Source organism: Homo sapiens, chromosome 2 (genome assembly GCF_000001405.40).
Source record: "Homo sapiens chromosome 2, GRCh38.p14 Primary Assembly".
Classification (NCBI taxonomy): domain Eukaryota; kingdom Metazoa; phylum Chordata; class Mammalia; order Primates; family Hominidae; genus Homo; species Homo sapiens.
In genome coordinates, this window is record NC_000002.12 from 52,785,440 (window position 1) to 52,810,983 (window position 25,544).

At 35.5% G+C, this 25,544-nt stretch overlaps 1 long non-coding RNA gene across 4 annotated transcripts in view; it reads right to left on the reverse strand.

The window, feature by feature from the left end:
• LOC105369165 (uncharacterized) overlaps positions 1-25,544 on the reverse strand; it is a 486,292-nt gene that overhangs the window by 62,764 nt on the left and 397,984 nt on the right. The window contains exon 4 of one of the 4 annotated variants that reach the window (NR_187748.1): positions 25,038-25,118. The exons of 2 other annotated variants lie outside the window; for them this stretch is intronic. This is a non-coding gene — a long non-coding RNA (uncharacterized LOC105369165). Of the gene's footprint in view, positions 1-8,826; positions 9,418-25,037; positions 25,119-25,544 lie in introns of those variants that run through there. One more of the 4 variants, NR_187750.1, reaches the window with a different exon arrangement.

Genomic DNA, 25,544 nt, shown 5'->3' on the forward strand with positions numbered 1-25,544 from the left:
TCAGGAGGTGGGGCCTTTCGGGAGGTGATTAGGTCATAAAGGTGGAGCCCTTATGAACATAATTGGTGACCTTGCCAAAGAGGCCTCAGAGGCAGGGTGCAGTGGCTCACAAATCTTAACACTTTGGGAGTCCCAAGGCGGGTGGATCACGAGGTCAGGAGATTGAGACCATCCTGGCCAATGTGGTGAAACTCCATCTCTACTAAAAATACAAAAATTAGCTGGGCGTGGTGGTGCACGCCTGTAGCCGCAGCTACTCAGGAAGCTGAGGCAGGAGAATCACTTGAACCTGGGAAGTGGATGTTGCAAGCCAAGATAACGCTATTGCACTCCAGCCTGGCGATAGAGCAAGACTCCGTTTCAAAAAAAAAAAGAGGCCCCAGAGACGACTTATAAAGAGGATGTGCCCATTTTACCATACAAGTGACCTCAAAAAAGAGGTCCTGCTCCTTGCTCACTTTACCAAGTAAGGACACAAGTAGAAGGTGCCATCTTGGAACCACAGAATGAGCGCCCACCAGACACTAAGTCTACTGCTACTCTGATCTTGGACTTCTACCTTCTAGAACTGTGAGCCATAAATTTGTCTTGTTTATCAGCTACCCAGTTTATGGTATTTTGTTATAGCAGCCCAAACTGACTAAGACAGTGACAGTGACTCAAGACTGGCATAGTTCCAGTCTTAAGTCCAAAGGCCCGAGAATCAGGAGAGCTGATTATGTAAGCTCCAGTTTGAGTACAAATCCAGTGGTAGAAGACTGATCTCCCAACTTGAATATAAAGGCAGGCAGAGAGTGAGTATTCCCTTTCTGATACTTTTGTTCTATTCAGACCATCAATGGATTATATGATGGCCTTCCTACATTAGAGAGGGCAATCTACTTTATTTAGTCTACAGATTCAAATGCAAGTCTCATCTAAAAACACCATCATAGACACACCCAGGATATTGTTTAACCAAATACCTGGGCACGCCATGGCCCAGTCAAGTTGACACAAAAGAAACCAACACATCCGTTTGGGGATTTGTAAGTGAATTTGTAAATAAACACTTTTATTTCTCTCTAGTAAATCCATAAAAGTGAAATTGTTAGGCTGCCTCATTTTCTAATTTTGGCTAGTCTAGTGGGTATACACTATTACTTAATGTGGTTTTAATTTTCATTTTACTAAATCTTACTTTCTTGATGAAAAATATGGATGAGTGCCTTCTTATGTGTGAGTTGGCCATTTGAATATGTTCTTTTGTGCAATATTTCTTCCAGTCTTTACCTGTTTTTTTGCTGGGTTATTTGATTTTTTATTGTTGAGTTTCAGTTCTTTTTATAGTCTGGATACAAGAGCTTATGAAAAATATATGTTTTGCATATATATTTTTCTAGCATGTGTCTTGCCTTTTCAATTTTTAATGATATCCTTTGATGGACATATGTTTTTAACTTTGATGAAGTCTAATTTCCAATTTTTCTTCTGTAGTTACTTCTGAGTACTGCTTAAAAATCTTTGCCTACTCCCAAGTCATATATAAATAAATATATATAAATATATATTTATATATATATTTATATATATAAAAATATATATTTGTTGTTGTTGTTGTTCAATGACCTTTAGAGTTTAGCTTTTAAGTTTAGGTCTACGATACATATCAAATGAATTTTTCTATATGGGATGAAGCAGAGGTACGTGTTTCTTTTTTTCCATATAATTACCCCATTGTTTTACCAACATTTGTTGAAAATTATTTCATTCTCCACTGAATAACTTTTTACCTTTGTCACTTTTCGGTTCAACTGTGTACATGTGGATCAACTTCTGTTGATCCTGTTTTGTTCCATTGATCTATTTGCCATCATTATATCAACAACATATTGTCATCTTGATTACTGTCACTTTATAGTAATCTTAAAATCAAGTAATGTAAATGTGACATTATTCTTTGTCAAGTTTGATGGTTTAGCTGTTTGTACATTTCCAGGTAAATGTAAGAATTAGCTTCTTAATTTTATTTTAAAATACTACTTTGATTATATCTGAAATTGCATTTAATCTATAAATCATTTTAAGGAGAATGTATATACCTTATACTGAGTATTGTCTTTCATCCATAATGGTTAAATACTTCTTCCCTTATTTAGGCTTCTTTTCATTCCCTTCACCTATATTTTCTCACTTTCAGCATAGAAGTATTGCTTAATTTTTGTTACATTTATTACTAAGTACTTTGTGGTGTTGATATTATAGTAGATGGGCTTTAAAAATTTTTTTATTTTCCAATTGTTTCCTGTAATCATATGAAAATGATATTGCTTTTTGTATATTGACCTTCAATTTTGCTAAATCGATGTATCCAAGTATGTTTTTTTCTGTGAGGGGAGTATAATTATGTTATTTATAAATATTTTCTGTTTTATTTCCTTCTTTCCAATCTGTTCTTCACTCCCATCAGTTCAGTGATGGGTAAGGTTACCAGAACAACACAATAACATTTTGTGGTGGACATTCTTATTTCTGATCTCTAGGATTAAGTAAGTAATGATTAAAGAGTAAAGGATGACGGTAGCTACAGTTTCCAGATGTCATTTACAAAATTTAGGACGTTCTCTTCTATTACAATTTTGCTGAAAAACTTTATTATTGATGAGTGATAAATTTTATAAAATGCCTTCTCTGCAGCTCTTGGTATAGCTATATGTTATTCATACTTTATTTTGTTAATATGAGTTATAGTGATTGATTTTTAAATGTAAAACCGACTTTTCATTCCTAGGATAAAAAGATCATTTAATCAAATCTGTATTATCATTTTTGTATATTGATAAATTCAATTTGGTAATTTGTTGATGCTTACTGTATCTCTGCTAATTAGAGATATTAGACTGAGGTTTTTCTTTTACTGCAATGTTTTGGTCAGATTTTTGCATCAAGTTCATTCAGGCCTCATAAAGTAGGCAAGGAGTGTTCTCTGCATAACTTTGCCAAATGAGGTTGGGTAAAACTGGTACTATTTTATCTTTAAATCTTGATATAATTCACCAGTGAACAGTTTGAAATTGACTTTGTGAATTGTTTTTGATAATGAATTAATTCCTCTATGGGATGTAGGGCTATTCATTTTTTTCTATTCCATCCAATTTCAATTTGGCAAGTTATATTTCTCAAAGAATTTCTCCATTTAATATAAATTGTTTAATACATTCGTAACAAGTTTTTTATAATATATTATCATTTTAAGCTTTATAATTTCTTTAATGATATTCTCTCCTCTGTCTGATACGTTAAATAATTTGTGTTTATTCTCTTTTCGTCTGCATGAGTCTTTCTAGGGCTTTGTTAATCTTATTAATTTTTGCAAAGATGGAGATTTGGGGTTTTATATTTTATTTATGTATTTATTTATTTGAGATGGAGCCCTTGCTCTGTTGCCCAGGCTGCAGTGCAGTGGCGCGATCTCGGCTCACTGCAAGCTCCGCCTCCCAGGTTCACGCCATTCTTCTGCCTCAGCCTCCCCAGCAGCTGGGACTACAGGCGCCTGCCACTACGCCCGGCTAACTTTTTGTATTTTTAGTAGAGACGGGGTTTCACCATGTTAGCCAGGATTGTCTCGCTCTCCGGACCACGTGATCTGCCCGCCTCAGCCTCCCAAAGTGCTGGGTTTACAGGCGTGAGCCACCGTGACCGGCCTTTATTTTTTTAATTTTAGACTTCAGGATACTTGAGCTTGTTTGTTATAAGGACATTACACGCATAATGGTGAGAGTTGAGCTTCTAGTGTACCCATCACCCACATATTAGATATTGTACCCAGTAGGTATTTTGGGTTTAAAATTGTTCTCTAGTGTCTGTTTTTTTTTTTATTTCATTGGTTGCTGCTTTTTCTAATTTTGTTTTTCTACTTATTTTGGATTCAATTTACTGGGTATATTTTAGATTCTTAAGGTAGACATTTAGATCACTGATTTTAAAACCTTTTTCTTTTCTAATATAATAATTTAAAATGGCAAATATCCCTATAATTGCTGCTATACATGCATCTCACAAATTTTGATATATTAGGTAGTTATTATTACCCGTTTAAAAATATTTTCTAAGATCATTTTTATATCTCTTTCCAAAAAGTGTTGTTTGTTTTCCAAATATGGGGGACTTTTCTAGAAATTGTACTATTATTTCATAATCAGAGGATGCACTATGTAATACTCCAATAGTCTGAAATTTATTGAGACTTGTTTTACGGTCAGCATATGAGCTAGTTCGGTGATTTTCGGTATTCATTTAAAAATCATGCATACTCGTTCTGCAGCTTTTGATATCATTATAAATGGATGTCAATTAGGTCAGGGTGAGTAATAATCTTCATATCTTCTATATCATAATGAGTTTTTGTCTAACTGTTCTATCAACTGTGTGATAAAAGTGTGAAAATATTAACCTGTACTTGCAAATGTATCCATTTCTCTGCTTCTGTGTCATGCATTTTGAGGCTCTGTTATCAGGTGTATGCACATGTTTAATCTTTTTTTTGTCTTCGTGATAGTTGTTTCTTTCAGCATTACAAAATGTTTCTCTTTGTGGTAATACTTCTTATGTTGAAGATTATTTAATTGATGTGAATACTGTCAATTAGCTTTCTTATAACTAATTTTTGCATGGAATGTTTCATCCATTTACTTTCAATCAATGTGTGCCTTTATATGTAAAGTGTATCCTCTAAGTAATATAAAGTAATGTCTTGGGCTTTTTAAACCAGCCTAGTTTTCCTTTAATTTGGGGTGTGTAGTCTATTATTTGTATGGAGTGTATACGGTTGGGCTTAAGTCTATCATCTTGCCATGTGTTTTCCATTTTTCCCTTCTTTTCTTATTTTACAGTTGATCCTTCATTTTGCTTTTTTGGGGAGTGCATCAAATATTTTTAGTTTTCCATTTTATTTTTCTTTTGACTTTATAACACCTTCATTACTTTTCTTTTCATTGTCACTATAGAAATTGCGTTATGCATTCTTATATCTTACTACTTCATGTAAGATATTAAAATTTTGAAAATTACAGTTGCTTTTATTCATGTGTTTTGAGCTATTGCTAGTATTCCTTACAAGGAATACTAGTTCACAAAACACTCTTTATTATTACTATTATTATTGCTTTAAATTGCCACATGCCTTAGAACAAAATTAAGGTCTTATGAATCCAATTTTTCCTCCAGTACAGGTTTTCTCTATCAAGGGTAATTTCCTTTTCAGTATTTGTCTGTTTTTAGTTTTTCTCTAGCACCTTCAAAATAATTTTTTCTAAATATTTTTCCCAGAGTTTACTATTTTATATGTGGGAAGATAAATTTGATGTAGGATATTCTGCTGTTACTAAAAGTAGAATAATTACTTTCTTTTCTTAAATAATTATCTGTGGTTAAAAATGTGAATTTTTCATACTTTTACTTAAGAAATTAATAATAAATTATGATATGTTTCTCATCTCCTAACTTTACATTACAATGTTTGATAGTGAGTAGTACAACAAGTACTACCAGCATTACCAGTGAACAAAACTCCTGTGTTATCTGTCAGTGAGGATAGAGTTTGCTTAGAAAGAGTCCTAGGGGGCCCATGTATGCTCTCATTATTGATTCAGCAAATTATTCTACTACAAGGGGCAGTGAATCGTCTGAGCTACACTTTCATCAGTTTTCATTTTAATAAAGCTTCCTGATTACTGTCAGATGATTTAACTACAATAGAGATGTGACTGACTCTTTGGAACCCAAATGTATTACAGATATCCTTTAAGAGATCCCAATTGTCCAGTTATTTTTCCCTTTCAATTTGCAGCTTCTCGGTTTCCCTTTTAATATCATATTCTACTAAAAGCTGTACTTATATCATGACTCTTCAAAGTTGATTAATAGCAAAATGAATCAAATCTTCTAGAGGCTATGAAAAAAGAATCACCATGTTACTAATCAGTGCTAAATAGCTTCACATCCCAGGCACGATTGTTTCTGAGGCTTCCCTGAGCTGATTCCTTTACTTTTGTTATTTAGCTCTGGAAACTTAGAGGCATTCTTATTGACTCACTTTATGAATTGTTGATATCTGGCCCTGTGAACTAGAAAACCATCATCTATTAAGTGTATCAGCTACTTCGCTGTATGCTCTTTTGCCCCTTTACATGTATTCTCCCACTTAATTGTATCAATCAATCAAAGTTTGTCACTCTTATATTCTGACCACTGGTATAAGCCTTCAAGAAAAACATGTCTTTTACGTGATGCCCACCCCAAAATGTACTTCTTGCTCTCTGGCCATATACCTGAATATTGAACTTCCATAGTGAGGTTGTGTCTGATTCTTTAGAGAGACCTGCCCCAATGGCATTGGACATAACTATGTGATATTGTGAATGAGAAGTGTGTGATGTTTTCTCAGTCAACATATAGCCCACCAGAAATGACACAGAGACACTTCAGAAGTATTCAGTTAAACTGATACAGTTTAACTGATATGTTAAACATGTGAGGCCTCATTGTGTCCTCACATGGTCTTTTCTCTGTGTGTGCATATTCCTAGTATCATTCTGTGTCCAAATTATCTTTTCATACGAGAACATCAACCAGATTAGATTAGGGTTCACCCTAAGGGTCTCATTTAATTTAATCACCTTTTTAAAGGCTCTCCCTTAACAGTCATATTTTGAGGATATATTTCAGGGTATATTAGGCCATTCTCATGCTGCTATAAGAAATACCTGAAACTGAGTAGTTTATAAAGGAAAGAGGTTTAACTGGCTCGTGGTTCTACAGGCTATACAGGTAGCATAGCTGAGGAGGTTTCAGAAAACTTCCAATCATGGCAGAAAGTGAAAGGGAAGAAGGCATATCTAACATGGCAGGAGGAGGAGAAAGAGTGAAGAGAGGTTAAACCAGATCTTGTGAGAACTCATTCACTATTAGAAGAACTCACTCACTATTATAAGAACACTATTATAAGTGGGGAGGGATGTCCACCGCATGATCCAATCACCTCCCACCTCCTCCAACATTGGGTATTACAATTTGACATGAGATCCGGGTGGGGACCCAAATCCAAACCCTATCACAGAATTTCAACATACACTTTTAGTGAAGACATGATTCAGTGCATAATGGATACCATCGAACTAACCGAAATATCAAGACATTCCTTTTAAGCCTTAATCCTCAGAGTAACTTTGTGTCAAGTCAAGAATGAAAAAACTTCTATGGGTAAGAGTGTAGGCAGACAGTAGAAAATAGCAGCAGGCCCTAACTATGCTTACACATAAGAATCACATTTATGTTGCATTTATCCTTTTTGTTTAATAAAAGAATCGGCTAAATGTTTAGATGCCCATTGACCAGAAGTGCAACACCTGTGTGTTCTTCGTGGTTATATGTGTTTATGTGGAACATTTATCACCTTTTTTTTGTGGCCCAGAATCTGAACACCATTCTTATGTTTGGAGAATCAATCCCTCACCATGTGAGTCATGGCAAAAAGCAGTGCTTGTCTTTAATCACAGATGTTAAAGTGCCAGATGCTCATTTATTCATTTCCCTTGCATCAAAGGCATGAGCATGTAACCTAGAATGTATTACCTCTGAACTTGATACTGGGAGGTAGCAAACAAGCAGGAGGATGTACCATGGAGAATACATTTTGATGCAGGTGACCGGAGCAGCAGCAGCAACAACAAGGAGTTTCCAGGGGCAGCACTGGCAGCTTATGGTATCAAGTATCAACATGTGGCCACTTTGCAAGCTCCCTACAGGGTTAATCAGCAGCAGTGTGCACACTGGTTTTGTGGCATGATTTTGCCTTTAGTTCTGGCTGCTGCATATCCCTATTATTTCCACCAGTTCTGTAAGTCAGGTTCAGCCACCTGTCTGGCAATTCTTTCTATAAATTTCTTTCCCTAAATCAACGAAAGTAAGTTTTTATTGCTTAAAAATAAGAATTTTTACTCATTAAAGCTTAGTCTTAAGTGAGCCAATATATCTCTACAGTAGTGTGGGGTTGGGGGGTTGGGGGGAGTTGGAGTTGGAGAGAAAAAGGGCATTATAAGGTTCCTGAATTTAGTTTTTAAGGTTCACATAAAACAAATCCAAATTCATCCATGTCACAAGACACAGGATTTTCTTCATTTTTAAGAATGCACAGTATTCCATTGTGTATGCATACCACAATTTCTTTATCCACTGCTGGACACTTAGGTTGATTCCAGATCTTGGTTGTTGTGAATAATGCTGCAATGAACATGAGAGTGCAGGTATCTCTTCAGCATATTGATTGTAGTACCTTTGGATACATACCAGAAGGGAGATTACTGGGCAAGTACTGCGTGATATAACTTATATGTGGAATCTAATAAATTTGAATTCACAGAAATAGGACATAGGATGATGGTTACCAGAGGCTTGAGCAGTGGGGAGAGATGGAATGAGGTGTTGTTGATCTAAGGGTATAAAATTTCAGATAGACAGGAGGAATAACTCTTGAGATCCAATGCAGAGCAGGGTGACTATAGTCAATTATAACGTGTTGTATATTTCAAAATAACTAAATTTCAAACTTCTCACCATAAAAAATGATAGATAAGGGAGGTGATGTATGTTGTAATGAGCTTCATTTAAACAGTCCACATTTTATGCATATATGAGAACATCACATTGTACCTCATAAATGTATACAATTATGATGTGTAAATCAAAAGTATTAATAAAAATTCTAAAAGATAAAAAATTAAACAATAAAAAACAAATTATTGGCAAATAAAAAATAAAGATATTTGTGTTTAATAATAAAAGTCTTAATTTAAATAAACAAGCCCAAGACTTTTTATTCCCTTTTGTAGTTCAGATCTGACTGAATTTATGTCCAGTAGGACTCTTAAAATCAGCTGTACATGTATTTCTCAATGTATACAAAAATCTTTCCAGGGTACATGAGAATTGATAGCATTAAGATAATTCATTGTACACATATATATTTTTGAACCTTTACATATATACTTTTCATATACACATATAAACATATATAAAATGTATGTTGATTTCCAAAAGTAAGGCATTTTAGCCACAAATGATTCCACTGTTCTCTCTCTTCACTTGGCCCCTCTTCCATTACAATTCTCTTTGCATCAGTTGACTTGAGAGTAGCCACAGGTGTTTTTGTGATTTGGTTATGGGAAAGTTGAATAAATGATCTTTGAATTTAACAGGATGAATCTGTGTGGTTTGCAGTCATTTCCTTATACGTACAGTAGTTATTGCTAGTCATTACATTGTAGTTTCCATAGATAGTTCTCCAGAACTCTTGTAGCACACAGAGCCAACTCATTTGGCATTGTGACGAGGAGGTACAAGGCCAGAAGTCATTCTATGCTATGAAGGCCATGAGAGTGCCTGGCAACAAAAGCATGCTGTTATTAGAGCAGAAAGATATTTTAAATTTATGAACTAGGGAGCTTGTCTTCCATGGAGAATTTTTCCTATTATCACATGTATAAAACTATAAAGGGATTGCCCACCTAGTATGCCTCATCAATTTCCAATCAAAATTGAAATTCTCTTATGTCAGAAATTTACTTGTAATGTAGCTATGCAAAATAGAATTTGTCAGAATTCCTGCTTCAGTAGGTCAAAACATAGCAGCAGGGTAAAAGAGTAAACAGATCCACATGAGGTAATATATGAAAAAAAACTGACATTTTCCCCCAAATTTGCCAATTAATCTAAAATTTGAGGATTCTTAGTCATGAATTGTGAGGTTAAAAGAAATTCTTCATAGTGTCAGTACAGTTGTTTGATTAACCATCCCAGAGAAAACACAATGTTATCTTTCTATTCTCTCTAAAGAGTAACATATAAAATTATAGTAAAATTATAGTAAAATTATAGTAACATATAAAATTAAAGTAAAATGTGTCAGGCAGTTAAGAAATAAAAATATTCTGATGATTTTTTAAACTTAATAACTGAGCCTAATACACTACCCAAATACAGTATAATATAAAATGTTAACAGTTTTGAAATAGTATATACCTACACAATAATCACCACAATCAAGATAACAAATATTTCTATGATGTCCCACATTTTCTTCATGGTAATTTAAATTCGTTGTTTTTTTCCCATCTCTAGGCAATTACTAATTTACTTTCTATTACAGATTAGTTTACATTTTCTAGAATTTTATGAGACTGCAATCATGCAGAATATACTTTTTTGCATAGATTCTTTGACCTAGTGTAATCATATTGAGCATGTATGTTATTACCTGAATCAAGAGTTGGTTCTTTATTGTTGCTGAGTAGTACTCTATTATATAGATGGGCCACACTTTGTTTTACTGTTAATCCATTTACTTGTTAATGAACATTTGGGTTATTACAGTTTTGGGCTATTAAAAATAAAGCTATTATGAATCTTTAAAATAATTCTTTGTGCAGGCAAATGTTTTCATTTCTATCAGGTAAATATTTCGGAGTAGGATGGCTGAACAATATGGAAGGTGTATGTTTGACTTTTTAAAACTTGCTCAGAGTATTTGTATAATTTTTTTTTTTTTTTTTTGAGATTCATTCTCGCTTTGTCACCCAGGCTGGAGTGCAGTGGCACGATCTTGGCTCAATGCAAACTCTGCCTCCCGGGTTCATGCCATTCTCCCGCCTCAGCCTCCTGAGTAGCTGGGACTACAGGCGCCCACCACCACACCTGGCTAATTTTTTTTTATTTTTAGTAGAGATGGGGTTTCATCGTGTTAGCCAGGATGGTCTCGATCTCCTGACCTCGTGATCTGCCCGCCTTGGCCTCCCAAAGGGCTGGGATGACAGGCGTGACCCACCACGCCCGGCCTATTTTATGTTCCCATCAGCAGTGTATGGGATGCCAGTCACTCTATATCCTTAACAACACTTGATATGATCCATCTTTTTCAAATTTTAATGAATTGAATTAGTGTGTTGTATTATCATGGTTTTGTTTTGAATTTTCCTAAAGATTAGTGAAATTGAACATGGTTTCATGTGCTTTTTGGCTACTTACATATTTTCTTTTGGAGGTGCCTATTCAGGGCTTTTGAACATTTTTATTAAACTGGGTTGTTTTCATTTTAATTATTGAATTATGAGAGTTTTTAATATATTTTGAATATAAGTTTTTGTTTGACATATGAATACTGATTTTATGAATTGGTTTTCTACCTGTCTGTGAGACTCTTGTTATGTCCTGTGATGGGAGTGCTCCTCTTTTGGGAACTAGATTACCTAAATCTATATTGCTACACATCCTTTGTAACCTGAGGGAGAGATTCTGCTACAACAGAAGTTAATACATGGGAATCTGGGCTACATGCATACTTATGTAGCTTATTTGTTCCTTTGTCCCACTCATGTTTAGTCCTGAATGCATCACTTTTATATTAGAATAGATTATTCCGGGACCCAATTGGCTTATGAACTACTGGTTCTGACAAAACCCAGTTTATGATGGACAGTTATAACTTCATGGTCTCTTGATGCATCAGGGTCAGGTATTTCACCTCTACCAGGAATATAGTTCTCCTCTGCAGACAGCAAACAGTCTGTGTTATGATTCTCCTTTTCGTAAACCTGTTCTAGGCTCTTTTCCACCACTGATATTACTAATATTATAGTATCTGCTGTATCTTCTGGCTTAGATAGCCAAGCTACTGCATCAAGAACTGGTCCTCTTGAGGAATGCTTTCACTTTCTTGGCTTCAGTCAAAGATAATAGTTGAAACAATATTCCTAGGTGCAGAATATGCTGCCTGCATAACAGAAGAAACCTACCAGACACTATACTTTCTGGCAGGTAAAAGATGCAATAATTTGTCCTTCACTTTAAATTCTCCAGCAAGCTCTTGAGCAGAGACTGCTAACAACATTACTATTTTTAGGCCAATAAAACTCATAAGGTTTGTCTCCCATCCTCTGATGGGCTATGGGTCTTATAAAGACCTTCAAAATAGTAAGCACCTCCTGCAAATTCCATCTGATTAATCAATAAAGTGAATGCATGTTTTGTTCTACAGGATACCTAGAGAGACTCAGCCTCCTTAGACTGTATTATGAAGGAGGGTAACAGAGTTATAGCTCTAGGGCAAAACTGTGAATGTATACTATTGTCAATTCCATGTGAATACAAATTACTTATGTTTCTTTTTTTTTCTGACAGAGGAGGAAAAAATACATTCATGAAGTCAAAAATAGCATACCATATGCCTAAGGCTGTTACTAGGCTCAATCCATGATAGCATATTTGTTGCAGATGACATGATCCTATATCTAGAAAACCCCATGGTCTCAGCCCAAATGCTTCTTAAACTGATAAGCAACTTCAGCAAAGTCTCAGGATAGAAAATCAATGTGCAAAAATCGCTAGCATTCCTATACACCAACAATAGACAAGCAGAGAGCCACATCATGAATGAACTCTCATTCACAACTGCTGCAAAAAGCATAAAATACCTAGGAATACAGCTAACAAGAGAAGTGAAGGAACTGTTCTAGGTGAACTACAAACCACTGCCAAGGAAATAAGAGAGGACACAAACAAATGAAAAAACTTTCCATGCTCATGGATAGGAAGAATCAATATTATGAAAATGGCCATACTGCCCAAAGTGACTTATAGATTTAGTGCTATTTCCATTAAACTACCACTGATATACTTCACAGAATTAGAAACAACTATTGTAAAATTCATATGGAACCAAAAAAGAGCCTGGATAGCCAAGATAATCCTAAGCAAAAAGAACAAAGCTGGAGACATCATGCTACCCAACTTCAAACTACACTACAGGGCTACAGTAAACAAAACAGCATGGTACTGATAAAAAACAGACACATAACCTAACGGAACAGAATAAAGAACTCACAAATAAGACTGCACACCTACAACCATCTGGATTTTCAGCAAACCTGACTAAAACAAGTAACAGGAAAAAGATTTTCTATTTAATAAATGGTACTGGGAGAAGTGGCTAGCCATATGCAGAAAATTGAAACTGGACCTCTTCCATACACCTTATACAAAAAATTAACTCAATATGGTTTAAAGACTTAAATGTAAAACCCAAAACTATAAAAACCTTAAAAGAAAATCTGGCAGAACCGGCCAGCCATGTGCAGAAAACTGAAACTGAACCCCTTCCTTATACCTTATACAAAAATTAACTCAATATGGATTAAAGACTTAAATGTAAAACCCAACACTATAAAAACCCTAGAAAAAAAATCTGGGAGAACTGGCTAGCCATGTGCAGAAAATTGAAAACGGACCCCTTCTTTATACCTTATACAAAAATTAACTCAAGATGGATTAAAAACTTAAATATAAAACCCAAAACTATAAAAACACTAGAAGAAAATCTAGGCAATATCATTCAGGACATAGCCATGGACAAATATTTCATGATTAAAACACCAAAAGCAATGGCAACAAATACCACAATTGACAAATGGGATCTAATTAAACTAAAGAACTTCTGCACAGCCAAAGAAACCATGATCAGAGTGAACAGACAACCTATAGAATGCAAGAAAATGTTTGCAATTTATCCATCTGACAAAGGTATACAGAGTCTACAAGGAACTTAAACAAATTTATAAGAAAAAAAAAACCTTAAAAAAGTGGGCAAAGTACATGAACAGACACTTCTCAAAAGAAGACATTCATGCAGCCAGCAAACATGAAAAAAAGCTCAACATCACTGATCATTAGAGAAATGTAAATCAAAACCACAATGAGATGCAATCTCATGCCAGTAAGAATGGCTATTATAAAAAAGTCAAGAAACTACAGATGCTGATGAGGTTGCAGAGAAACGGGAACACTTATGCACTAAGGGAGTGTAAATTTGTTCAACCATTGTGTAAGACAGTGTGGTGATTCCTCGAAGATCTAGAACAAGAAATACCATTTGACCCAGCAATCCCATTACTGGGTATATATCCAAAGGAATCTAAATCATTCAATTATAAAGATACATGCATGTGTATGTTCATTGCAACACCATTCATAGTAGCAAAGATATGGAATCAACCCAATTGCCTAGGCTGGGTAAAGAAAATGTGGTACATATGTATACACCATGGAACACTACGCAGCCATAAAAAGGAATGAGATCATGTCCTTTGCAGGGACATGGATGGAGCTGGAAGCCATTATCCTCAGCAAAGTAACACAGGAACAGAAAACAAAATACCGCAAGTTCTCACTTATAAGTGGGAGCTGATTGATGAGACCACATGGACACATGGGACAGAACAACACACACTGGGACCTGTCAGGGATGGGGGCCAGGGAAGGGAGAGCATCAGAAAGAATAGCTAATGGATACTGGGTTTAATACCTAATTGATGGGTTGATCTGTGCAAGCAAACCACCATGGCACATGTTTACCTACGTAACAAACCTGCACATCCCGCACATGTAACCCTGAACTTAAAAGATGAAGAAAAAATAAAGATAGCACATTTTGCATGGGGACTATAATTAAGGCCATTACTTGATTGAATTTGTAGTAATCTACTATCCTTCTCCAGGATCCATGTAGTTTTTGCAAGAGTCAGACTGGTAAATTGAATGCAGGTATGATGAACATCACCACACCCACATCCTTTAGATCTATATGAGTGGCATTAATTTCTGACATCTTCCTTGGATAACTTAGTGTTTTTATTGTACTTTCTTGGCTTGGGAGAAAAGGACAGGAGTAAGAGGCTTCCATGTGGACTTTGCTCCTATAGTAACTTTTGCTCCACAGCCCAGAGATCCTATGTGAGGCTATGTCAACTACTAAACATGTCTATTTCCATTATACATTATACATTCAGAGAATAGATACATTGGCCAAGAATCCATTCATTATTTTTCTCCCATTTTTCCTTACTCTAATAGGGGGCCATAATGACACTTAAAACACACTCAGTGAACAAAATCTTACTTTTGTCAACTGCAAGATCTCTTCTGATACCCAATACTGCTTCTCGTTCCAGAAGAACTAATTACAAAATGGTTGTGTTTGATCGAAAGATCACAAGCAGTTTTCAATTGTAATCAAGTCCTAGAAATCTGACACAGTAAATTAAAAATCTAGTCACAGCAACTGTATTTTCTTTCAAGTGGCTATTCATCCCAGCTTGCACAGGAAAATCCTAGTTTCCATGGGGCTTAGAATTCACTAGCGTGACAAGAGAAAAATAATTTAAATTGGGATAAAGGATGAAAAATCTTGATTTACCGCAAGTTATTTAGTCTCAGTATGTCAAAACGCTGCAAATGTGCTTTCTGTTCTCTACGCCACGGTCAAGACTTACTTAACAATTAACTATGGCACTATTCCCATAGAGCACAAATAACGCTTTCCAGATTTTTCTGTAGCAAAGCGATCCTAAAATTAGTCATTTCAAACAGGACAGTGTGAAAAGTAATACCAATAATAATTGCACCAAGAAAACGCAAATGGAATAGGTATCTTAAATAAGTGTAGTTTAAAAATATTGAACATTAGCCGGGCGCAGTGGCTCACGCCAGCACTTTGGGAGGCCGAGGTGGGCCGATACCTGAGGTCAGGAGTTCAAGACCAGCCTGGCCAACATAGCGAAACCCTGTTTCTACTAAAACTACAAAAATTTTCCAGGCGTGGTGGCAGGCGCCTGTAATCCCAGCTACTTGGGAGGCCGAGGCAGGAGAATCGCTTGAACCTGGGAGGTAGAGCTTCCAGTAAGCCGAGATCATGCCACTGCATTTCAGTCTGCGTGACAGAGCAAGACTCTGTCTCAAAAAAAAAAAAAAAAAAAAATCCTTTCTGTGATAGGCCACGTTTATATAGTGTGTTAATTTATCTCAGTTAATCCCCATAACAACAGTACATTGTCAGTACTATTATTATATCCATTTTACAAAGAGAAAACTGAAGATAAAAGATGTTAAAGAACTTGACTAAAATTACACAGCATATAAGTAGTGGGTCTGTGATATAAATCTAATATTTCTGATTCTGGAGCTTGTGTTTCTACTGTTATATTCTATTGTTACCCAAGATCTGCACTATATCTCATTATTGGTTAAATTGCCAGTCACCTACAGGATGATTTCAGTGGTTTCACACAGAAACTACTAAAAACCCCTTTTTCCACCAGTTTAAAGTGATGCTACTAAACATCTTGCTTAGAATTATTAAAAGTTCTTGAGTGAAGTAAAAATAACAGCAGCAACAAATGGAAAGAAGAAGGAATGGAGGCACTTTCTCCAAAATGGTTTGACTAAAAAGCATTAACTCATTTAAAAATCAATCTTCATTATTTACAGATTTCATATCTTCAAATTTGCCTACTTGCTAAAATTTATTTGTAATCCTAAAATCAATACTTGGGGCACTTTTGTGGTCATTTGTAGACATGCTCAGAGCAATGAAAATTTGTTGCCAGACTTGCACATTCCCAGCTGAGGTCAAATAAAGCAATACTCTGCCTTCTTGCTTCCACTATTATACAGTATACTACAGTATACGAGTATCCTTTTCTGTTCTATTTAATGTGACGTTTCACAATTTTGTGCTTTATATTAGTGATACTGCTGTTTAAAATGGCCCCCAAGCGTAATGCTGAAGGGCTGTCTACTGTTTCTACATGCAAGAAGGCTGCAATGTGCCTTATAGAGAAAGGATGTGAGTTAGGTAAGCCTCATTCAGGCATGAGTTAGAGTGCTAGTCATGAGTCCAAAGTGAATGAATCAACACTATGTGTTAAATAAGGCGTCATTAAACAGAAACACAAATAAAGTAAGTTTGTGTGTTTCTTAGCTGTTGTATATGTTGTGGCCAGAAGCTCAAAGGAACCTAACCCTATATTTCCCCTAGGAGCAATGGTTCAATATTCACTAACTCAGTGTTTGTGGTGACTTTATAGAACATAACTATCATGAATAATGGTAATTGACTGCATTTATTCATTTATTCATTCACCATTTAGTGTTACTAAGAAAGAGAACCAGTCTCTTTCCATGTTTATATTATGTAATGAGAAATCTGACTACAGTTTTTGATATTTAACTGCTAACAGCTTTTAAGTCTTACTCCTCCTTCTCCTTTTTGTGCCTCACATGTGACAAGCTGATAAGAAAACCCAGATGCCATCTTCTTTGGCACTAGTGGGAGATTCCAACCATGTAAGCTCCTACTCATAAACCACAGTGAAAACTCAAGCCTGTCTCCTTTCCTTGCTCTCTTGCACCATTTCGAGCCTGCTTGAGAAGCCTGCTTTCCCCAGAGACTTTAATGATGAAAGCAATAATCCTTTTTATACCCTCTTTGTATGTTTATGGTAGCTTCTGTCCTAACATTGAAACCACATTTTGGGTGGGTGGTTCTATCTGCTTCAGCAAGTGACAGTAATATATTAATACACATTTATTTTATAGCTTTAATGAACTAATGTAATATGTCACTTTATATTTCTAAGAGATCCTAACTTTGAGGGACAAGGTATACAAAAGATACATTTCAGAGAAGGAATCAGAATGATGTGTGAAGAGGTAGGGCTCCAAGTCAAAGATAGCTCCATGGGGATGAGCAAGCAGGGGTGTATTTAATCCACATGAAAGCAAAACACTTCGTACATAGAATGCATTCAAATGATGGCTTGCATTTTACTTGTTTTTATTTATGCTCTACATCCTTTCAGGTTCGGATGTTTTTTCTTTTTCTTGTCATGATGGTCAATGGAATTTATGGACATTTTCCAAGTTTCCAAAACAATAAGAATTTGTCGAAATGATAACCTGACAAATATTCAGAGTTTCCCTCAAACCACAAAACATCCAAATCAGCAGGATTTAGAAAATAAACTATTGATCTAAACACACGCAGGTCTTTGTAGTGCTCTTCAAGTAACATATTGCTACCTAGCCCTAGGCATGGATTTTACCAGGCCTAAAAACAGAAACAGGGATAAACAGAGGTATCAACTAATGTGAAACACTTTCCAGTTTATAGGTCAATCTTTTCTGTCCCTTCAGACCATTAAGGCAGGTCTAACACCTAGAATTCATTCCAAATTACAAAACCCACCACTATAAGAACAGAACAGGTGCCAGGATCCAAAATGTGTATAAATTCCTCAATATTACCCAGAAGAATTTCTAAACAGTTTCTATTTTCATCAGAAAAAGCTGGTATATACTGCTGCTGCCACTGGAGAGGACAATTAAGAGTTTGTTAAATGAGGGCAAAAAAAGAAAAACACCTCTCCAGATGCATACTTTAAAACACTAGAATTAAGAGTATCATTATCTAAATTTTTCAAAAGAAAGATTGCTCAAGCCCAGTGATATTGCTCACAGAAGTAGTAGCAGTGGCTTCCGCTGCCTTCTTCCACATGGCCTGCTTCCTGGCTAGGAGCTGTATTTTACCTAGAGAACTTACTTTGCAGGTATTACTCAAGTTGTTCTCTGAACCTAAAACACTTACACACTGAATTTGAACTTAGACAGGAAGCCTGTTGTATGTTTCTCCTTTTCCTGTTCCTCACATTTAGATGAATAAAGGCACATGTTTTCCCTAGGAGGTAAAGCAAAATGTGGAGACTGGCTTTCCTTTGAAAGCATTTTGAATAAAGTACTTACAGGTCTAGGTTGGGTGAGAGGTATAAAATAGTATGACTTTTTTTTCTCCTTTTCCCTTGGATTATCAGAAGTGAAAATTATAAAAAGTTCCAGATATTTTTATCACCATAGTCTCATCTAAAGTACCTATAATAGTTACATTTTTGTAGCTGAGAGTATTATAGGTCAAAAAGTTTCTGGCAATCTCCAAATGTTGTCTCCCGAAAGCCACCTCCTTCCTTTACTATGTTAACAGCACCCCCAAATTGTTCACCTATCCAGTAACTGTGTGTTTCAGGGGACACTAAGCCTGTCTTCAACAATCGTGGTATCATTTCCTTTGCTAGTGACTATGCACAAGGAATGCAATTTAGCCATGAGACATTGTGTAAAGTGTTCTGGGGTTAGTTTTATTTTTGGAAACTTGTATTTGTTCTTAAAAGGGAACCAAGGAAAAGGCAGCCTTTTTTCCAGCTTTTTGCATTGCTGTGTGAGAATGAAAGCCTTGAGATGGTGCATGCATTTTATGATGGTGAGGGAGAGATAATCTGAAGACAAAAAAAAATAAAAACTCTGGGAAGATGGCAAAATATTAAATCAAGAGAATCTGGAACATTTTGCTTCTGGATTACCTTTTCATCCTCTATTTGAACATGTTATGTTAATTAATACATTTTCATTTTAATTAAACACATTTTTAGAAAGTGCTTCTGATAGTTTTAGGATAGAGCATTCCTAAATAGCATCTGCAAATCCATAGCACATGTAATTTAGTCAACTCAAGATACAAAACCAGATTTTTCTGACTCCAGACTCTGGGGCCATTTTAATATTATAGTTACTTCTTGTCCCATGTTAGTGTGTAATAGCTAATTATTTAGAAGAAGGCAACATATTGAACTTAATTTCCTTACCAACATAAAAGTAGAATTCTGTGAAACGTTAGAAAATAAGAAAAAAAGCTAGATTTGTTCATGTGATTACTACATGTCACATACTTATATTGCTCAATATTCATTGTGGATGATGAAGTTACTAAAATTTGAATAATTAATTATAAGATATTTTAAAGATTTTCATTTAGCACTCACTTCAGATTTCAAAATCTAGATTCTCAGTTCTTCTTTATGCCTGTCTCTAGTTCTCAATTACAGGTTGTCTTGAATTCTTTCTGTTCTAAGAACAAATTTATCAACCTTACACCATCACCACCATCATCATTATTTTCCTTTGATGGATGAGTGTAGTGAAAAAGGAAGTATCTCTAGGGAAAGCTTCTTTGTCATCTATCACTTCCACCATATATGACCCAAATCCTAACCAACAATATTTTCTCCTTAAGAGAGGCATTGAAGTGAGATACTGACATCTTCAAACTGTGTCTACAGACTCCTTTCCTGTTCAAGACATCATTGGCACCAGGTCTCACACCTAAGCACCTCTCCATGCCTGTCTGTTGCATACTATTATATTACAAATCACCTGCTCCACATAGACTTTCCTGACCTCTTCAGGCTAGCAGGCACAATTCCATAATATACTGAGTATAGTTCCACCTATCCGAAGATTTTCAGTGTCCCCATTGTCTTTGTAAGCACATTTAGGCAAATACTATTTGACATGCCTCTGATTATCTCTTGCATTTGTTGATGTTCATTAAATATTTCATGATATGTATATATCTAAATATATATATTCCAGAAATCAAACCAAATTCAATGTAAATACTATATGATATAAATACTGTATGAATTTATACTGTATTCAGTATAAATATTGTCCTAAAAGCTTTAATTCTATTAATAATTAATCATCAAAATAACCTGTATAGCATAGGTAATTCATTTTACTATTCCCATTTTCATAGAGAAAGAAAGCAAGGTTAAGTAACTAACCCAAAATCACACAACTAGGAATTGGTGAAGTAAGAATTTGAATGCAGGCAATCTTGCTTCAGAGTCCATGAAGCTACTATATTATGCTTCCTTCCTGTAAACATTCATCAGCTACCCATATGACTCAAGCTGTACTCCTTACTGACTTCACAGTGCTTGCTTTAATTAGAATCTAGTTCTCTTAGAAAGCAGATATGTTGAAAAATATTAATGATTAAGGAGCATTGTAGAAGAGATTATCATCTGCAACCACAATGTATACTCCCTCTTCCTGAATATAGACTTGTTACTGGGGTAGCTATCTAGCAGGGATTACATTTCCCAGTCTTCCTGCATCTAGATGCATCCATCTATCTAACCTATTGTGAAAGAAAAAACTTGTATCACTTTTAGGGAAACATTTTTTATATCTTTTTCCTCTTACCAGCTGGATGAAGACAAGTATAAGGCCCTACTAGAAAGTAAAGCTAAATAATAAAGGAGCATGAGTTCCTGTGGGTCCTTCTGGGAGGACAGTCACCAAATACTGGGAATATTCATATGTAACTTTTAGGTAGGCACCAAAAGTCATTTATTGTTCTGAGACTTTATTCCATTTTGAAGACTGTCAGTAACTAACACAAGCATGTTACAGATGCAGGAATGTTATAGATAGTTGCCTACCTGATTCATACTATATTTTGTGAGCCAAATACTTTTATTTCTATAAAAACTATGGTTCTGAGAGATTGATTAGATTGACAAAGGTGATACAGTTCAAGAGTGTCTGACTCCAACAGCTATACCATGCTACAACAATGCACTATTTATAACATTAGAACATGCATCTTGCTTCTGACTTTAAGTATTACAAATCATAACACTTTTTTGCTGTCATATGGGCACACCATTCTGAAAAACAGAACTTTCTAAAAGACATTAATCCTCTCACTTCTTCCTGATTAATAAAACTCTGGTTGGTCTTGGTGCAGTCCTTTGTATTTGGCAATGTTAGAACAATGGGCTTCTCAATTTTGACATTCCCTTGCTGTCCAAGTAACAAGTTTATCTGAGAGATTTTGAGAAAGCTTTTCTTGCCTTCTGAAGGAAAGCAAACAAACAACTGATTCTCCTTTTTCCTGCTTAAATATGGATAGAAACATGGGAGCATCCCTATTCACTTGTAACCACGAAGAAAAGGCCAAGACCATTGCAGAGAGGTGTGAATCAACTCCAATAACAACTCACAACTCAACTTTTTATATGAGAAAAAATTCCTATATGTTTAAGCCATAGTGTTTTCCATTATTTAGAGCTAAAAACAATCTTTACCAAGGAAATTATCATTCAGTAGTTTTTTTTTTTCAATATAATCTTACCAATTTATACCAACATCCCATCAGGGTGCACTATATCTTTATGACAGTCTAATGACTCTTTATCAATACTTGAAAATTTCGTTTCAATTTACTATCAGGTAAGGCATTTATTTTCTATAGTATGTCTTTATGGAAGAGATTAGTTTGTTAAATATAAAGGGTTTAACTTGTTTAATATGCATTCTCACTAACTGTGTCTTTGTCATGGAAGATTGGGGAAAAGGAGAGGAGTGAGGAAATCTGTGAAGTAGGGAACACCAAATAAATATTTTGATATTTGATATTAAAAATACTGAATCAGATAAGTTACAGAATTCAAAGGAGTGACTGAGAATCCTTTTCTATTTTTTAGCTTTATTTGCTGTGCAACCGTGAGCAAGTTGATTTTCTATTCTAAGTTTTGGCTTTCTCAGCTATAGGACAGTACTAAAGACAGTATGAAGTTTACTGATTGTTGTAAGTTTTCAGTGCCATGCACAAGTGTTATGCACATTGATAACCCTCAAAAACAAGCACTATTGTTTTCATTGTCATCATTATCCAATATTGATAATGGTCCTGAAATGTCAAAATATCTCTACTAAAGACACTATGTGAGTCCTTGAAGTGATTTAAGAGGATGGCTATATGTTCTCTAATTTATTCTGCATGGAAACTATATAGTAACTTGACAATTAGAACTTGATTCATTAGAATGAATGCATCATGGGATGCATTAATTTACTTGATTGCCTTTTAGTTTTACAACTACCTTAACTTAAAGCTAACTTTTAAATTTAATAAAAGAGACAAAAACAATGTGCAACTTATGGCACAAGCTAATGATAAGGATATTAAGCAACTTTCTATTCTCTACCGAAAGTTATTTTAAAGTATAGATAAACAATGCTGCTAGGAAGAAATTTTAGGTAAGTCGGCAACTTTCAAAAGAAATTGGGGTCTGTAGAGAATATTTGTCCTTTGTATAAACTACTTTTAATTCAGTGCTTTATCCTTCTAGGTTAAGGGTTATTTTAACCTCTATGAAGTATGAGAAAATTTAGATAGCCCTACAGTCTCTTTTAATTTACCTTTCTCTGCTTTTAAAATAATAGAAAAAAAATGGCCATTTAAATGGATAAGACATCAGGTTGGAACTTGATTAAGTACTTCGAACCATTAGAAACAGACTCTGTAAAGTCATTTGATCTTTATCTCTTTTGTAGTTTATTTTAATGTCAGGAAATATTTTACATGCCCTGCCTTCCAAATCAGGTAATTTTGCAAATTTAAAATTTTTGTGTGGCAATCCTTTCATTGCTTTGATATTAGGCTACTAAATGTAATCTAGAAATAAGTTTATACCTAATTCTGAATCAAAATTTTCTGCACAATTTGCTGGACAAGCATTCAGAAATCCAGCTTCTATACCAGACACTGACCCTCAACTCATCTTGTGTCATGTAGGAACCCATCTTCCTTCTTTTAGCCTTAATTTCCTCAAATTTAAAAGCAAAATAATTGGACTGGAACTCTATGGCTACAGCTTCTTCTGCTTATACAATTTTCCTTATTACAATGCTTACTATGGTCAGAGTTTTCTTGTGTAGTAATATAGGACATAAGAATCCTTGCAGTTTTTAGGAAAAAGTAAATTTTTCCCATAGAAAATTAACAAACATTATCAACAGGAAATTTACAGAAGAAGAAACACATGAAAAGTAGGCAGACTTGGCCGGGCGCGGTGGCTCACGCCTGTAATCCCAGCACTTTGGGAGTCTGAGGCGGGCGGATTATGAGGTCAGGAGATCGAGACCGTCCTGGCTAACGCGGTGATGAAACCCTGTCTCTACTGAAAATACAAAAAATTAGCCGGGTGTGGTGGCAGGCGCCTGTAGTCCCAGGTACTTGGGAGGCTGAGGCAGGAGAATGGCGTGAACCCGGGAGGCGGAGCTTGCAGTGAGCTGAGATCGCGCCATTGCACTCCAGCCTGGGAGACAGAGCAAGACTCCGTCTCAAAAAAAAAAAAAAAAAAAAAAAAATGTAGGCAGACTTATTAGTAATCAGGGAAAACAAACAAGAGATAAGATAGATTTTTTCACCCGTCAGATTGTGACCAATTGGAAATTTTGATAATATTAAGTATTATTGATGCTGTGGGGATAGATATCTCTCATTCATTGCTGGGAGGAGGACATATCAGTTTAGCTCCACCTGGTCTCTCCCTTGACACGTGGGGATTATGGGGACAATTCAAGATGAAATTTGGGTGGGGACACCAAGTCTAACCGTATCAGACTTACATAGAAATACTTCCATTTTCACTTTGTAAAATATTCTCTATTGGAATAATGACAACCATAGTAACCCATATTTGTAAAACACTTTAGAATCCTATTTATCCTTGTATTATATGTAGGCAGGTATTATTATAACTATTCCACACCTGATAAAAATGAGAATTATTGAATAAACTATTTGAACAACTTTAAAAAATGAATATGTGGCAAAAAAGGAACTCAAAATAAGTTTTTAATACAATTAAAATTATATTTTCATTCTGGTCTTACTAATGGAGTAATGTACATGAAAATGGCTGGCAAACGTTGAACACCATAGGAATGTTAGATGGTATTTACTGTCATTAATTTCATTATTAGGCATAAGATAATTAATGTACAATGCCAACCATGTTTCTGTAAAAAACTGCATATGTAGAAGATCCTCCCTGAAGCAGGGCCCAGGAGATAACCACAATGAGACTGTTTAATTAAACAGGTGTAAGTGAAATAAAGGGAAGCAGAATCAAAAACATTTGATTCTATGAATTACATATGAATTGGTTTATAATAACTATATTAAGAAAACAATAGCTGGGCAACTGATGACTTAAGCTACTTGAATGAAGCCAATGTTCCAAATTACCTAGCTACTGAATATAAAGCATATTTAGCCCACAAACTCCTGAGAATACGGGACACTTTATACAATGGCACAATAAAGTACAAGCAAACTGAATGTGCTTCCTCAAAGCCTTAAAAAGAGTTCTCATTTTTGACTGCATGAAATCTGTATAAAGTAAGTCACATCAATGTCTGTCTGCCCAAACCCCCTTTTAAGGAAGTTCTTGCTCAAGGATTCACATATTCCAAGGAAAGTCAACCTGTATGCTGTTCTGTTATCTGTTCTTCCAGTTATCAATTGTATTGTCTACCACTTCCAAGTCCATTCTTCATTGCCAGATCTGCAATAACAGAGATGGACCCTGTAAATATCCTTGGTCAACTGTCACGTTGTTAAGTGCTGTCATTAGAGGGCAGTAGATAAACAGTACAAAAAGAAAGGGTTTCTCTTCTTGGATCTGAGCTGTTCCTCTTGCTAAGTTCCTGCAGTTCAGGTGGCTGTTTCAGAGCTCAGCAGTCAGTAGCTCTTTCCCAGACACCCTTGGAGACGAGGCACATTCCTATGAACGCTTCTCTGAGAGACTGTTGGGAGGCCTTACAGCAAGTTATAAAAACCGAAACTCCCAGTAGGCAATTTTCCTTGATGTCCCAAAGAGCAGAATTTACAAAAGTCCTGCTACAACATCTCAGTAACTTATCTACCATCCTTTATCCATAGTTGTTCCCTCTCCAGACAGGTCTGGATCTGAGCCCGGGATGGGGGAGAG